We start from the raw sequence: 14,602 nt of genomic DNA on the forward strand, positions 1-14,602 counted from the left end.
TTTCTACTTTATTTGGAATATGAGACCCTTTTTTGGCTGGCAGGGGGGCGGGGGGTGGCGGTGGTGGGTGAGGGCCACTTCCCTCACTTATTTTGTAAAGGAAGACAGTGTTTGTTTTTGTAAGAAAGACATTCTTGGGTGGGGAGTGGTGGTATTTGTGTTTTGTACTTGATTATTTATATATTAAATCACGAAGAAATGTTTTTGTATTGTGTTTTCAACAGGTTTGAAAAGTTCACAGTCTGTGCAGTCTATTCGTCCTCCATATAACCGAGCAGTGTCTCTGGATAGCCCTGTTTCTGTTGGCTCAAGTCCTCCAGTAAAAAATATCAGTGCTTTCCCCATGTTACCAAAGCAACCCATGTTGGGTGGGAATCCAAGAATGATGGATAGTCAGGAAAATTATGGCTCAAGTATGGGTACGTTATTTCTAATTAGTATGTATGATTATTTTGGGAAAAGCATATTTAAAATACTTAAAGCCATCTAAATAATTGGGAGTAAATAATAACTTTTTGAATAACGTTAGTATGTTTCTTCCATGAATATCCTTCATTTATTCTATGTTTTGGTTATGTAAACTCTTCAAGAGTCTTTTGGTCTATGACATTTTCCAGCCTGTTGAATATATGAGAATAGTGGCCTATGTCTCCACAGTTGGCCAGCCCTTTTCTTACCATGACAAAGTGCTGTTTTGTCAAGGTTGATGTTGTGTATAATGGCTGTACTTACATGGTATAAGAAGGATTTCATTATAATATGGAAAAGACCTAAGTATGGCTACCTGTTTTAGGTGGGCCAAACCGAAATGTGACTGTGACTCAGACTCCTTCCTCAGGAGACTGGGGCTTACCAAACTCAAAGGCCGGCAGAATGGAACCTATGAATTCAAACTCCATGGGAAGACCAGGAGGAGATTATAATACTTCTTTACCCAGACCTGCACTGGGTGGCTCTATTCCCACATTGCCTCTTCGGTCTAATAGCATACCAGGTGCGAGACCAGTATTGCAACAGCAGCAGCAGATGCTTCAAATGAGTAAGTGTCCACCCTCCCCTCTTCATGAAAAAAGAAAGTTAGATGTTTCAGGATAATTTTTGCTCTTATTTGAGAATTTGTGCTTTCTTTTTGCTCCCCCAGGGCCTGGTGAAATCCCCATGGGAATGGGGGCTAATCCCTATGGCCAAGCAGCAGCATCTAACCAACTGGGTTCCTGGCCCGATGGCATGTTGTCCATGGAACAAGTTTCTCATGGCACTCAAAATAGGTGGGGTGTTATTTTGTGACTCTGTAGAAAATCTCAGCATTGGGTAGTTTAGAAAAGAGTTGGAGCACAGAAGCAAACGTGAAAGAGAATGAGAATTCCCTATAATTGAGGTACTGGGTTGCCAGCTGGGCATTTCTCGTGTAACTCTGTGTAAAAATGAGGCTGAAGCAGTAAGCAGTGCGTGTGGCATTCACAGGAGAGGGAGGAGATACAACCATGTTGTCCAGCCATTAGGGCCATTCAGTGGCCAAACCTCTGAGAGCCTCTCTGTGAGATGATTGTCTCTCTAGTCCCATGAGGAGGGGAAAAAAGATAAGTACATGTTTCTAGTGGTTTTATAAATGTTCTTCAGAGGGTTAGCCTCAGTTTTCCAGAAAATTAAACTTTTTTAAAAAAACTTTTCTTTTCCCCCAACCACCTGCTGCCTATTGAGAAAATTCTTTTAAGGATTGGCTAATTGTTTTCTAAAATTATTTTAAACATTTCAGTGATGATAGTGAAATAACTATATAGCATCTTTAAAATTTTTCATAAAATAAAGATTGTAGGCCCGGTGTGGTGGCTCACGCCTGTAATCCCAGCACTTTGGGAGGCCGAGGCGGGCAGATCACAAGGTCAGGAGATCGAGACTATCCTGGCTAACAAGGTGAAACCCCTGTCTCTACTAAAAAAAAAAAAAAAAAAAAATTAGCCGGGTGTGGTGGTGTGTGCCTGTAGTCCCAGCTACTCAGGAGGCTGAGGAAGGAGAATGGCGTGAACCCGGGTGGCGGAGCTTGCAGTGAGCTGAGATTATGCCACTGCACCCCAGCCTGGGCAACAGAGTGAGACTCCGTCTCTAAAAAAAAAAAAAATTGTAGATTGTATTTAATTTTTATTTAGCTTAGTAATTTACTTGCATGCAAGAGGCCATGGTCAATGTCAGCTCTAACAGGAATTCTACAGTAAGTTAAGCAAGGAAAATAAAAATGAACTGATCTATTGAGCAGACAGTGATGTAACTATATGAATTTATTTGAGTGCTTCTCTACTCTATATGAATTTATTTGAATGCTTCTCTACTCAATAGAGAGCAAATAGTTTCAAGTTAACAGAACTTTTCTGAGGCAGGATAAATGTTTAACTTCATGCCCTTGTATGTGTTGGAGAACTGAGGCAACTTGCTGTGGGTGTATGGGGTTTGTGTTACACTTGCCAATATGAGCTCTGTGGGCCAAGTGTGACAAAGTCATTTTGGTATTTCTCCAGACTCACGTCAGTGATAGCTCAACATTTCTTTTTTTTTTTTTTTTTTTTTGAGACGGAATCTGGCTCTGTCGCCCAGGCTGGAGTGCAGTGGTGCAATCTCGGCTCAAGGATCTCCTGGGCTCAAGCAATCTGCCCACCTCTACCTCCCAAAGTTCTGGGATTACAGGTGTCAGCCACCACGCCTGGCTCCCTTCTTTTTTTTTTTTTTTTTTTTTTTTTTTTGAGACAAAGTCTTGCTCTCTCTCCCAGCCTGGAGTGCAGTGGCGCAATCTCGGATCACTGCAAGCTCCGCCTCCTGGGTTCATGCCATTCCCGCCTCAGCCTCCCGACTAGCTGGGGCTACAGGCGCTCACCACCACGCCTGGCTGATTTTTTGTATTTTTAGTAGAGACGGGGTTTCACCATTCACAGGATGGTCTCGATCTCCTGACCTCGTGATCCGCCCGCCTCGGCCTCCCAAAGTGCTGGGATTACAGGCTTGAGCCACTGCGCCTGGCCATAGCTCAACATTTGTATCCTTCCTTTTATTCTTTTGATTTCTCTAATTTTCAAGTATTATAATTATTACCTCCTTCACTGTTTTTGTGAGGAGTATCTTCTCCCATCCTTCCCTACCCTCCCCCTGGCCCCCATTTCTGCTATACCCCAAATGCCTAGGGTTTGGCAATTACAATTTGGTGTTGGGATTGGGGGTTTAAGCTGTATATGGTGGTCTAAAGTGGCCTGGTGAAATTTCTAAATTGTGGGCCTTAAACTTAAATTGATGCCATTCACTCTTTTTTACCACTTGGTTTATTATTTGTGTTTGTAGCATTTGAGTTACTGTTCATTAAAAATACTATGCATGGTTGCTGTGATCTATTACTCTTAGAAAAAAAAAAAGCACCATTGACATTGATTGCAAGTCTTTTTCTAGGCCTCTTCTTAGGAATTCCCTGGATGATCTTGTTGGGCCACCTTCCAACCTGGAAGGCCAGAGTGACGAAAGAGCATTATTGGACCAGCTGCACACTCTTCTCAGCAACACAGATGCCACAGGCCTGGAAGAAATTGACAGAGCTTTGGGCATTCCTGAACTTGTCAATCAGGTAGGTTGCATTAACATGGAAGTAGGAGAGTGTATATTTGTGTGTGTGCGCGCGTACACATTCATGAAGCCACATACAAGAATGCCTGTGTGTGTCTCTCCTAGTACTTGTGTTATATCACTACATTCATGGATACCAGCATTAAATTTGGAAAATATCCTTTTTTGGTCTCAATTCGTATGTTAAAATAGAAAATATACTTACGATTGCGATATTACTTTCAACAACCCACTATTTTTGGCAATTGTAGAAATGATTTAGTTAAGCTACTGTACTGTTCTTAAAAATGTGACCTTTTATTCATGTTAACAGTTCTCATTTTTATAACTATCTTTCTCTACTACTTAGCCAAGCCGTGTGTATTCTGAGGCAAGCTTTTTTTTTGCTTGTTTGTTTAAACAAAACTTGTTTACAATGGCCAAGCTGAACATCCTAACATCATGGTGTCCTGTTCCTGTTTACATACCCCGCCTTATGAAAACATGCCATTCACAAATCTGTATTTCTGAAAGACACATTCTGTAGTGACTGTTTTTTCTTTTTTGAATCGGAGTCTCGCTCTGTCAACCAGGCTGGAGTGCAGTGGCACAATTTCATCTCACTGCAACCTCCACCTCCAGGGTTCAAGTGATTCTCCTGCCTTAGCCTCGCGAGTAGCTGTGATTACAGGCACCCGCCACCACGCCCGGGTAATTTCTTTTGTATTTTTAGTAGAGATGAGATTTTGCCATGTTGGCCAGGCTGGTCTCAAACTTCTGACCTCAAGTGATCCACTCGCCTTGGCCTCCCAAAGTGCTGGGATTACAGGCGTGAGCCACCGTGCCCAGCCATGACTGTTTTTATTTAAAGGCTATGGAGGGGCCACTGTATAGGTTTGTGCGTTCAACAGTAAGCAGGAAAGATCATCAGGGGCTGTCAGTTGTTGTTGGGGAAATAGATGTGTACATATGGAAGTACACTGCCATGTGGCAAATGCTGTCACAGTGCAGATGGGAAACGCTGAGCAGTCCTTGTGTACACCTTCAGGGATACCAGTGACATAGAACCTTGGCACTGAGGAGCCATATTTTATACTCCAACAGAAGTATAGAAGTTCTTTTTTATTTCTTTACTTGTTCAGGCACACTAAATAACCCATCAATTCCTTCCTTCCCTCCTGTAGTTCTCTCTGTTTTACTGTGTCCTTGTGAGGCAAGTCTAGAAATTAATAATTGTCACTATTCCCCTGTGTTGGACTCCTAGTATCCTGAATCTCAAATCGCTTTCTGTCTTGATTTACTCCTTTGTTTTGCTGCAACACAACTTCTATTAACTTCTTCATCCCTACTGCATGAAATAAAATGTTTTGGGTTCTATGTGTCTGAAAATATCTTTATTCCACCCTCCTACATGTCTGGCTATGTATTACATTCTAGGTTTAAAATAATTATATACTTTTGAAAGATTTCTGCCATAGTTTTCTGGCATCTAGTGTGGCCACTGAGTTGTATTTCTTTCTGATTTTGATTCATTTGCATGTGACCCGTTTATTCTCTTTGGAATGATTTAGGAACTTTTTCTCTCCGAAATTTTATGATGCTGTATCTTGGTATGGGTCTTTTTTCATTCATTCTGCTGTGTACTAGATACACTGATATTCCCTTTGGTTTAGGGGTGTTTTCTTGTATAATTTCTTTATTAACCTTATCTCTCCTGTGTTTTTTTTTCTGACCTACTTTTCTGGGATTTCTGTTGACATGTTGGGCATTAAATTCGTTCTATTTTTTTTTTTTTGAGACGGAGTCTCGCTCTGTCGCCCAGGCTGGAGTGCAGTGGCGTGATCTTGGCTCACTGCAAGCTCCACCTCCTGGGTTCAAGCCATTCTCCTGCCTCAGCCTCCCGAGTAGCTGGGACTACAGGTGCCCGCCACCACACCTGGCTAATTTTTTGTATTTTTAGTAGAGACGGGGTTTCACCGTGTTAGCGAGGATGGTCTCGATCCCCTGACCTCATGATCCACCCACCTCAGCCTCCCAAAGTGGGATTACAGGCTGGGATTACAGGCGTGAGCCACCGCGCCTGGCCCTTCATTCTATATTTTGAAGTCTTCTCTATTTTTCTTGTCTTTGATTTGCTTGAGTCACGTTCAAGCTTGGAAAGTGTTGGACGCTTTTATCAAGTATCTGGTGATCCCTGACTGTTCTTATATGTTAAGAGTGAGACATTAAGAAGCTGATTTGACACTTTGCAAGTGTGAGCAGCATCAGTTGTCTTTACTGAGGGTAATTAAGTGGGGAACTAGCCCTAGCCCTTTTATTTCAGGACTCCCCAAATTTTTATTTATTTATTTTTGAGACGGAGTCTCTCCCTATCGCCCAGGCTGGAGTGCAGAAGCGTGATCTCGGCTCACTGCAACCTCCACCTCCTGTGTTCAAGCGATTCTCCTGCCTCAACCTCCTGAGTAGCTGGGACTACAGGCGCACGCCACCACGCCCGGCTTTTTTTTGTATTTTTAGTAAAGACGGGGTTTCACCATATTGGCCAGGCTGGTCTCGAACTCCTGACCTCGTGATCCACCTGCCTCGGCCTCCCAAAGTGCTGAGATTACAGGTGTGAGCCACCGCGCCTGGCCAGGACTCCCCAAATTTCCACATGTAGAGTTGTTTTCAACCACCACTACCACTCCTGCCATCTGGTAATCTTTTATTACCTGGTTGCATTTTGGGAGCTGGGCTAGGGAGGCAAGTGTGGGATATTAAATTATAAAATATAAAATTTTATTTAAATTATAAATATGCTAAATATAAAATTTCCTGTTTTCAGCCTCTGCCTCACTCCTTTCTTAGGCTCTGCTTGGTGCCCCTGAACCCCTGTACCTTTGTCGGGTAGGTAGAAGGTACAGGCCTTTCGGGAGTCAGGGAGCAGGCAGGGAGGTAGTTGACCTCCTGCTCTATACTCAGACTCCTAACCAACCTCCTCATTTCAGCACCATGCTCTGATCCCCTACCACCCTCACTGGAGTCTCAATAGATCTGTGGAATACATTTGCTTGTTTTTCATATGTATTTTTCCTCTGTGGGCACATAAGTCTAAGTTTTTCTGTTCTGTTGAGCTGGTTCCTACTTCTCTATTCACTTTGTATCTTCTATTATAAATATGGAAATACTTGATCTTGTTGCGTTATTAGTGTTTTATGGATAAATACTACCTTTTAAGTATTTTTTTTTTAAATAAACTGGATACCTCTTAGTTCCCTTTATTGTCATTTTAGTAGGGTTAGCAAGTGAATGCAGGTAAGCATGCATGATCAGTCTGCCATGTTTAACTTAAAGTATAGTTTGCTTTATTAAGACATCTTCAGCCAGGCATGATGGTGTGTGCCTGTAGTCCCAGCTACTGGGGAGGCTGAGGTGGGAGGATCACATGAACCCAAGTTGATGGGACAAAATAGAAACATAGTTTCCAGTTACTATGGTAACAGTCCAAGAGGTGTCCTGGGAAGGGTCATAAGGGTGAAATGGAAAGAAGGGAGGGATACATGATATGCCCTGGAGGAAAAATTGACAGGACTTGGTGGTCACACGTGTTTACTCTTGGAAAGGGAGAATGTGAAGAATCAAATTGCTGGGTTTTGGTTCCTGGGCAGTGAATGGTGATGCTGTGTACCGTCACCATTTGACATCTGTGAGGGGTTGGTTTCAGGACCCCTGTGGATACCAAAATCCATGGATGCTCAAGTCCCTTATATAAAACAGTCTAGTATTTGCATATAGCCTATGCACATCCTCCCACATAGTTTAAATCAGCTCTACATTACTTATAATACCTAATACAATGTAAATGTTATGTATATTATATAGTTGTTACACTGTATTGTTTAGGGAATTATTATAAGAAGAATGATGACTGTGTGTATTCAGTCAGGTACAGCTACCGTTTCCTTCCCCTGGAATGTTTTCAGTCCCCTGTTGGTTGAATCCATGAGTGTGGAACCATGGATATGGAGGGCCAACTGTATTGTGATATAGTAGGGTAGGTTGGAGGAGAACAAGCCTGCTTGGGGGGAAGGGCTGTTGGGAATCATGGTGTCTGTTTTCTGCCTGTTAAGTTTGAGATACCTGAGACATCAGGGTGCGGATGTTAAGTAGGCATTTCCATAAACAAAACCAAAAGTTCAGAGATGTTTTGGCTGGAGACAAAAATGTGATCATTATCACCAGCGGATGAGAGCACCTAAGTAGAAAATATATCAAGAGAAAATAAGAGAGCCTAGGACTGAACCCTGATGAACAGTTAGCATTCATTCAAGGAAAGGCCAGAGAGATGGGAGAAAAATGAGAAGTGTTGCGAAGTACAGTGGGGTGAAGTATGCTTCAAGAGAGACATGTCAAGCATGCTGGCTGCATGCTTGGCATTCAGTGCCTGTGGATGAGAAAATAAAGGTGAATGCACAGTACACCTGGTTCTTGTCTTAGCACAGCAGGTTGTTCTCTTCTTCAGAATATCAACTTTTACTTCTTTTTCTGTCACCTGTGGGATGTTATTTTGAATGTATCCTTAGCATGTAGAGAAGTGATGCCTGGCACATAACAAGCATTTACTTAAATACTTGTTGAATGACTGGATGTTTTTTGCACTTTCTTTAGAGCATTTGACTTCTGTTGCTTTCATAGATGTTCTTCACTGTTCTTTTATGTGTTGTGTTTAAGGGACAGGCATTAGAGCCCAAACAGGATGCTTTCCAAGGCCAAGAAGCAGCAGTAATGATGGATCAGAAGGCAGGATTATATGGACAGACATACCCAGCACAGGGGCCTCCAATGCAAGGAGGCTTTCATCTTCAGGGACAATCACCATCTTTTAACTCTATGATGAATCAGATGAACCAGCAAGGCAATTTTCCTCTCCAAGGAATGCACCCACGAGCCAACATCATGAGACCCCGGACAAACACCCCCAAGCAACTTAGAATGCAGCTTCAGCAGAGGCTGCAGGGCCAGCAGGTAACCAGTCATGTGTTCTTCCCTCTGGCTTCTCCTTCTGTTGTTTTCAGACTATGTTTCTCAGTGTTCTTACCACTGGTGCAATCTATCCCTGTCAACTAAAGAAATTCTTTTTGTTTTACTTCTGTGTAAGGTTTTATTTGTACAAATGGCTCCTTGTTAAGGAGTAGTTTTATGAGAATATTCTATTTTACAGGTAAAAAGTAAAAAAATGTCAGGAAGGATTGCTCTTGGGGAAGAAAAATGTTACTTGATGACTTTGTAGTCTTAAAGGTAGATAAGGTTTTTTTTGAAAAAAATCCTTACTGCTAATAACCAAATACTTAAACCTTCTTGATTTCAGCATTTTTAATGGAACTCTTCTTTCTAGATGTTTTATAAAACTAGAGTTGTCTTTTAATATTCTAAAATATGACTTCTGTTTACCCTATTGTTTTCTTAGTCCCCAAGAAATGTTTTAAAATTCAATTGTTTTTATTGTTTATGTCTTCAAACCATATAAGTAGATGAATGCCTGAGGTTTTTTTTTTGTTTGTTTGTTTGTTTTGTTTTGTTTTTTTTTTTTTGAGGTGGAGTCTTGCTCTGTCGCCCAGGCTGGAGTGCAGTGGCATGATCTTGGCTTACTGCAACCTCCACCTTCTGGGTTCAGGTGATTCTCATGCCTCAGCCTCCCGAGTAGCTGGGGAGCCACGCAAGCCCGGCTAGTTTTTGTATTTTTAGTAGAGACAGGGTTTCACCATGTTGGCCAGGCCCGTCTTGAACTCCTGACCTCAGGTGATCCTCCTGCCTTGACCTTCCAAAGTGCTGGGATTACAGGTGTGAGCCACCGTGTGCGGCCAAATGCCTGAGTTTGGAATCCAAAGAGCCAGAGACTCCATTGCATAAATATTGTTAAAAGTCAGTTTAGGTACTCAGAAAAGCTGTGTTACTGTATTCATTTTACTTTCTGCCGTTTCTTCACTAAAAGTCATTTAGGGAAAGCTAATGGAGTTTATTCAGAATTCCTCTGATCAACTTAAAGGTATTTCCCCATGTGCCCGAATAATCCCAGAGAAAGCCTGACTATAAATCTTTTGAGTTTCTATTGTGTGTGTGTATATATATATAAAATTTATTTATTTATTATTATTTTTTCTGATACAGGGTTTCAGGATGGAATGCAGTGGTGCAGTCACAGCCCACTGCAGCCTCGACCTCCCAGGCTCAGGTGATCATTCCACCTCAGCCTCCCAGGTAGCTGGGACTACAGGAGTGTGCCACCACTCTTGGCTAATTTTTTGTAGAGATGGGGTTTCTTCATGTTGCCCAGACTGATCTCAGACTCTTGGGCTCAAGTGATCTGCCCACCTCAGCCTCTCAAAGTGCTGGGATTACAGGTGTGAAGATATTCTTTAAGCTGCAAAATTGCACTTTACTTTTTTTTCCCCAGTGCCAAACAGTAGCCCATCATATGCTAGCCAAAGACTTTTCAACATTGACCTTTTTGCAGTGTGAAAGTACTGGTTCAGTTTAGACGTGACTTAGCCAGGTTATTGTGTTTGGAGATATTACCTCATTGGCTGGTGCTGAGGGTCTGGAAAGCTGTTTTGGCAGACTGACGTGCTCTGCTTGCATTCTAACCAACTTGTCTCACCTCAGTTTTTGAATCAGAGCCGACAGGCACTTGAATTGAAAATGGAAAACCCTACTGCTGGTGGTGCTGCGGTGATGAGGCCTATGATGCAGCCCCAGGTGAGCTCCCAGGTGAGGATGATAAGCCTCTCCACATGCATTGCTCTGTGCTCAGGACAGGGCTTGGCCTGTGGTTGGCTCTCAGTAAATGTTTGTTAAACAAATGAAGGTAATTCTGAATTTCTTGTGTAAGAAAGCAGTCGCATTAAAGACTTTCGACTCTTCCATTCTTCTCTCTGGCTGGTGACTGGGAGGAATCAGAGGAGGGAGAGCTTTCTTCATTAAAACCATCGATTAGTGTTTTTTTAATTGGTTCCCTTTGTGATCAGTTGCTGTACTGTGAGAACAGCTATCACTTGGCTGTTTAGGAATTTAATAAATCTGTAAATGTTCCTCTGTTCCTGGATTATGAAACAACATGCACACTGGGTAAAATTCTGAAATTATAAAGAAGAAAATAAAGAATACATAATCCTGTTCTCAGTGATAGCCTCTGAGATGACCTGTTTCTTGTAGTAGGAGGGGATATTAAAATTCCCTTCTACTTCCAGCCAGTGGTGGAGACAGTATTGAGGGGTTTTTTTAATGTGCATGAGGCAGATGACCACACAGCAATCCTCTATTGTGATTTGAAATATCGTTTATAATTGTTTTTTAAAAAGCAACTGTGAAATGCTCGATTTTTATTGTCTTATGCCTACTTGGAAGTACTGATATTTACATTTTCTTGATAATAAAACATCTTGTGGAAGCTGAGCTAGAATGTCCTACAGAAAGATGATAAAAGCTTGCTTTTTGGAGATGACCCGTAGCTAGTAGAGCTGAAATCAGCTTCCTTGTTGTACTTCAGTTATGTCACCTTCTGAACCTCCAGATAGCTTCTGCTTGCCCCTTACCTCTTTCTGAAAGTTTAAAGAAAGTTCAAGATTTTCTGAGGTGGACCCCTGCTTATCTGAGTATAACCCCATCTTATTTTTTTTGGCTTCATGTTTCAGCCCTCCACCACCCCAACACACTGAATCCTCATTTTCCTGTAATTGTCTTTCATAGTTCCTGAAAAATTTGTCCTCAGATTCCACCCCTAAATGTTTTCTTACTTTGTGGAATGTTTCTAGTCATGTTAAAGCTTGACAGTGTGTTGTCTTTTGTCTTTTAACCCCAAATAATTTTCAGGTCCCTCTTCTTCAGTTCTCCCTCCCTCCCCTTGCAATAGCCAGAAAGCTTTTTTTTTTTTTTTTTGAGAGTCACTGTTGCCCAGGCTGGAGTACAGTGGCACGATCTCGGCTCACTGCAGCGTCAATTCCCTGGGTTTAAGGGATTTTCCTGCCTCAGCCTCCTGAGTAGCTGGGATTACAGGTGCTCATCACCAAGGCTGGCTAGTTTTGGTATTTTTAGTAGAGACAGGGTTTCACCATTTTGGCCAGGCTGGTCTCGAACTCCTGACCTCAAGTGATCCGCCCACCTTGGCCTCCCAAAGTGCTGGGATTACAGGCGTAAGCCACTGCACCAGGTCAGAAAGCTTTTATGTGAAGAATTGTATGTTTTGGCCGGCACAGTGGCTCACACCTGTAATTTAAGCACTTCGGGAGGCCGAGGTGGGCGGATCACCTGAGGTTAGGAGTTTGAGACCAGCCTGGCTAACATGGTGAAGCACTATCTCTACTAAAAATACAAAAATTAGCCAGAGTGGTGGTGCACGCCTGTAATCCCAGCTACTTGGGAGGCTGAGGCAGAAGACTCACTTGAACCTGGGAGACGAAGGTTGCTGTGAGGCGAGATTGTGCCACTGCGCTCCAGCCTGGGCGACAGAGTGAGACCCTGTTAAAAAAAAGAAGGCCCTGGGTGTTTTCTGTCTTATACCTGGTGTATTGTGGGGGTACTATATGTATGCAACTGGCAGGTTCTTGCTATATATATGTAATTGCACTCTTTCTTGGGTATTAGCAGGGTTTTCTTAATGCTCAAATGGTCGCCCAACGCAGCAGAGAGCTGCTAAGTCATCACTTCCGACAACAGAGGGTGGCTATGATGATGCAGCAGCAGCAGCAGCAGCAACAGCAGCAGCAGCAGCAGCAGCAGCAGCAACAGCAACAGCAACAGCAACAGCAGCAACAGCAGCAAACCCAGGCCTTCAGCCCACCTCCTAATGTGACTGCTTCCCCCAGCATGGATGGGCTTTTGGCAGGACCCACAATGCCACAAGCTCCTCCGCAACAGTTTCCATATCAACCAAATTATGGTAAATCTGACAATGAAAATGTGCCTTCCCCAAGTTAACATTACTAAGGACATAAGCTTCATTACATTTATTGCACATGAAAGACAAAAACACGATTCACTCCCTCTTTACTTCACAAGGAAAACCAAATTAATTTAAATGATTGGAAAACAAAAATGCTGCAGCACACAGGTAATTGAGACAGGTGTATCCTGTCATAGTTGAATATTTTTTTCAGTCCCACTCATTAAGAGTCCCCAAACTCTGGAAGAAACACTGCAAAGTTGTCCCCTTGCCCCTTCTTGTATGTTCCAGTATAGTAGAACTCTCTAATCTCTGAATGCTTGGTCAAGTCAGTGAGAGGAATGCACTTTGTGGGCTTTTAAGTTGATTTTCTTGGTGACTTGGATTTATTATTTTTTTTTTGAGATGGGGGTCTTGCTCTGTCACCCAGGTTGGAGTGCAGTGGTGCGATCTTGGCTCACTGCAACCTCTGCCTCCCGGGTTCAAGTGATTCTCCTGCCTCAGCCCTGAGTAGCTGGGACTACAGGTGCATTCCACCACCCCCGGCTGTTTTTTTTTTTAAATTTTTAATAGAGACGGGGTTTCACTGTGTTAGCCAGGATGGTCTCGATCTCCTGACCTCGTGATCTGCCTGCATCGGCCTCCCAAAGTGCTGGGATTACAGGCGTGAGTCACCGTGCCCGGCCCTGGATTTATTATTACAGTGATGCAGATACCTCTTCATTTCAGCCTTTGAGAGGTTCCAGGAACATGGTGGGAATAAAGGTGTCTATTGGGGAGCCCTGTCATCTGAGGATTATAACTCCCCTGCCCTTTAAAGAAGGATGGAGTGATGTGAGTTGAGTGATACGGAGTCCCTTTTCTACAGGAAACCCATTAAAGCAACTGATCTTTCAGTGATCCAGATGGTGCTCCTTTCTGTAGTAAGCCTGTTACTCTAGTCGTCATCTTGGTGAGAATCTAGAATACCTGGGGGGGCAGCATCTTATAGCACTCTGTATCTTACACTTATCACTTCCCTCCACCCCCACCTCCTTTAAAAAAAAAACAAAATTACTACAGAAATCTGATATTCTAAGGAGAAGGCATTTGGGCATTTTTATTTCTTCTGTTTTATTTTTGTAAGGAATGGGACAACAACCAGATCCAGCCTTTGGTCGAGTGTCTAGTCCTCCCAATGCAATGATGTCGTCAAGAATGGGTCCCTCCCAGAATCCCATGATGCAACACCCGCAGGCTGCATCCATCTATCAGTCCTCAGAAATGAAGGGCTGGCCATCAGGAAATTTGGCCAGGAACAGGTAAAGAACAGTGACTTATAAAGTTAGTCACATCCTAGTCCCAGAAGTCCAAGAACTTAATGTATTTTTCAGTCAAGCCTTTTTGGATGGAGAGGTTGAAAGGACTGGGTTCATATTAGAAGGTGTGATTTGGCTTGTCCATTTTGAGAGTCCTTCAAGCACGCACATATCTATTAGGGTGTCTAGTACAGAAAGCTGTGAAAAATGGATCACAGGCTGTCAGGGAGTTTTCTCTAACATTCCCAGCTTAAGTATAGCAATGTTTGACACAATTGTAGTAATTTCTGTGGGCATGCCCTTTGTCGCTAAAGTGACTTCCAGAGGTAATATTACCATTTGTTTACTTACAGCTCCTTTTCCCAGCAGCAGTTTGCCCACCAGGGGAATCCTGCAGTGTATAGTATGGTGCACATGAATGGCAGCAGTGGTCACATGGGACAGATGAACATGAACCCCATGCCCATGTCTGGCATGCCTATGGGTCCTGATCAGGTATGGGATCGATTCCTTACCTTTTTCAAAAAGTTTTTCTTGTTCTCTGGATAGAACTAAAGCCTAGGCTATAATCAGAATGTCCTAGGTATATTTTAACTTGAATGTATAACTTAAAATATAGTAATTGAAAAAACTTGGTTTGAAGGCATTGGGCCATTAGATACTTTTGGTAAGCCAGAGCTGCATTGTAAGATGGGATCTCAGGAACCTGAATCACTCAGCCAGAGCTGCACTGTAAGCCATGAATGTGGACATGGGTATTTTTTTGTTGTGCAAAGCATGTGTTTTACTCATTTTTTTTTTTTTTTTT

At 42.7% G+C, this 14,602-nt stretch overlaps 1 protein-coding gene across 4 annotated transcripts in view, besides 5 other annotated features; it reads left to right on the forward strand.

Annotated features, from left to right (window-relative positions):
* NCOA3 (nuclear receptor coactivator 3) overlaps positions 1 to 14,602 on the forward strand; it is a 154,986-nt gene that overhangs the window by 136,897 nt on the left and 3,487 nt on the right. The window contains exons 14-22 of one of the 4 annotated variants that reach the window (NM_001174088.2): positions 225 to 419; positions 839 to 1,039; positions 1,142 to 1,268; positions 3,430 to 3,601; positions 8,290 to 8,583; positions 10,222 to 10,314; positions 12,199 to 12,493; positions 13,623 to 13,797; positions 14,148 to 14,289. In NM_001174088.2, the coding sequence (NP_001167559.1) occupies positions 225 to 419; positions 839 to 1,039; positions 1,142 to 1,268; positions 3,430 to 3,601; positions 8,290 to 8,583; positions 10,222 to 10,314; positions 12,199 to 12,493; positions 13,623 to 13,797; positions 14,148 to 14,289 (1,694 nt within the window). Of the gene's footprint in view, positions 1 to 224; positions 420 to 793; positions 1,040 to 1,141; positions 1,269 to 3,429; positions 3,602 to 8,289; positions 8,584 to 10,221; positions 10,327 to 12,198; positions 12,494 to 13,622; positions 13,798 to 14,147; positions 14,290 to 14,602 lie in introns of all 4 variants that reach the window. The other 3 variants (NM_181659.3, NM_001174087.2, NM_006534.4) reach the window with 3 other exon arrangements.
* Positions 9,370 to 10,087: an enhancer, noted in NCBI's record as "H3K27ac hESC enhancer chr20:46276897-46277614 (GRCh37/hg19 assembly coordinates)". NCBI's record gives its function as "activates a minimal SCP1, AML or CMV promoter by ChIP-STARR-seq in primed H9 embryonic stem cells {active_cell/tissue: H9 hESC(primed)}" and the evidence as "EXISTENCE:reporter gene assay evidence [ECO:0000049][PMID:30033119]".
* Positions 10,088 to 10,805: an enhancer, noted in NCBI's record as "OCT4-NANOG-H3K27ac hESC enhancer chr20:46277615-46278332 (GRCh37/hg19 assembly coordinates)". NCBI's record gives its function as "activates a minimal SCP1, AML or CMV promoter by ChIP-STARR-seq in naive and primed H9 embryonic stem cells {active_cell/tissue: H9 hESC(naive and primed)}" and the evidence as "EXISTENCE:reporter gene assay evidence [ECO:0000049][PMID:30033119]".
* Positions 12,288 to 12,374: a tandem repeat.
* Positions 12,288 to 12,375: a biological region, named in NCBI's record as "nuclear receptor coactivator 3 repeat instability region".
* Positions 12,289 to 12,375: a repeat instability region, noted in NCBI's record as "repeat instability region; instability of the polyglutamine-encoding CAG and CAA repeats has been observed in some somatic cells". NCBI's record gives the evidence for it as "EXISTENCE:nucleotide sequencing assay evidence [ECO:0000219][PMID:14684685, PMID:16670003]".

Source organism: Homo sapiens, chromosome 20 (genome assembly GCF_000001405.40).
Source record: "Homo sapiens chromosome 20, GRCh38.p14 Primary Assembly".
NCBI lineage: Eukaryota > Metazoa > Chordata > Mammalia > Primates > Hominidae > Homo > Homo sapiens.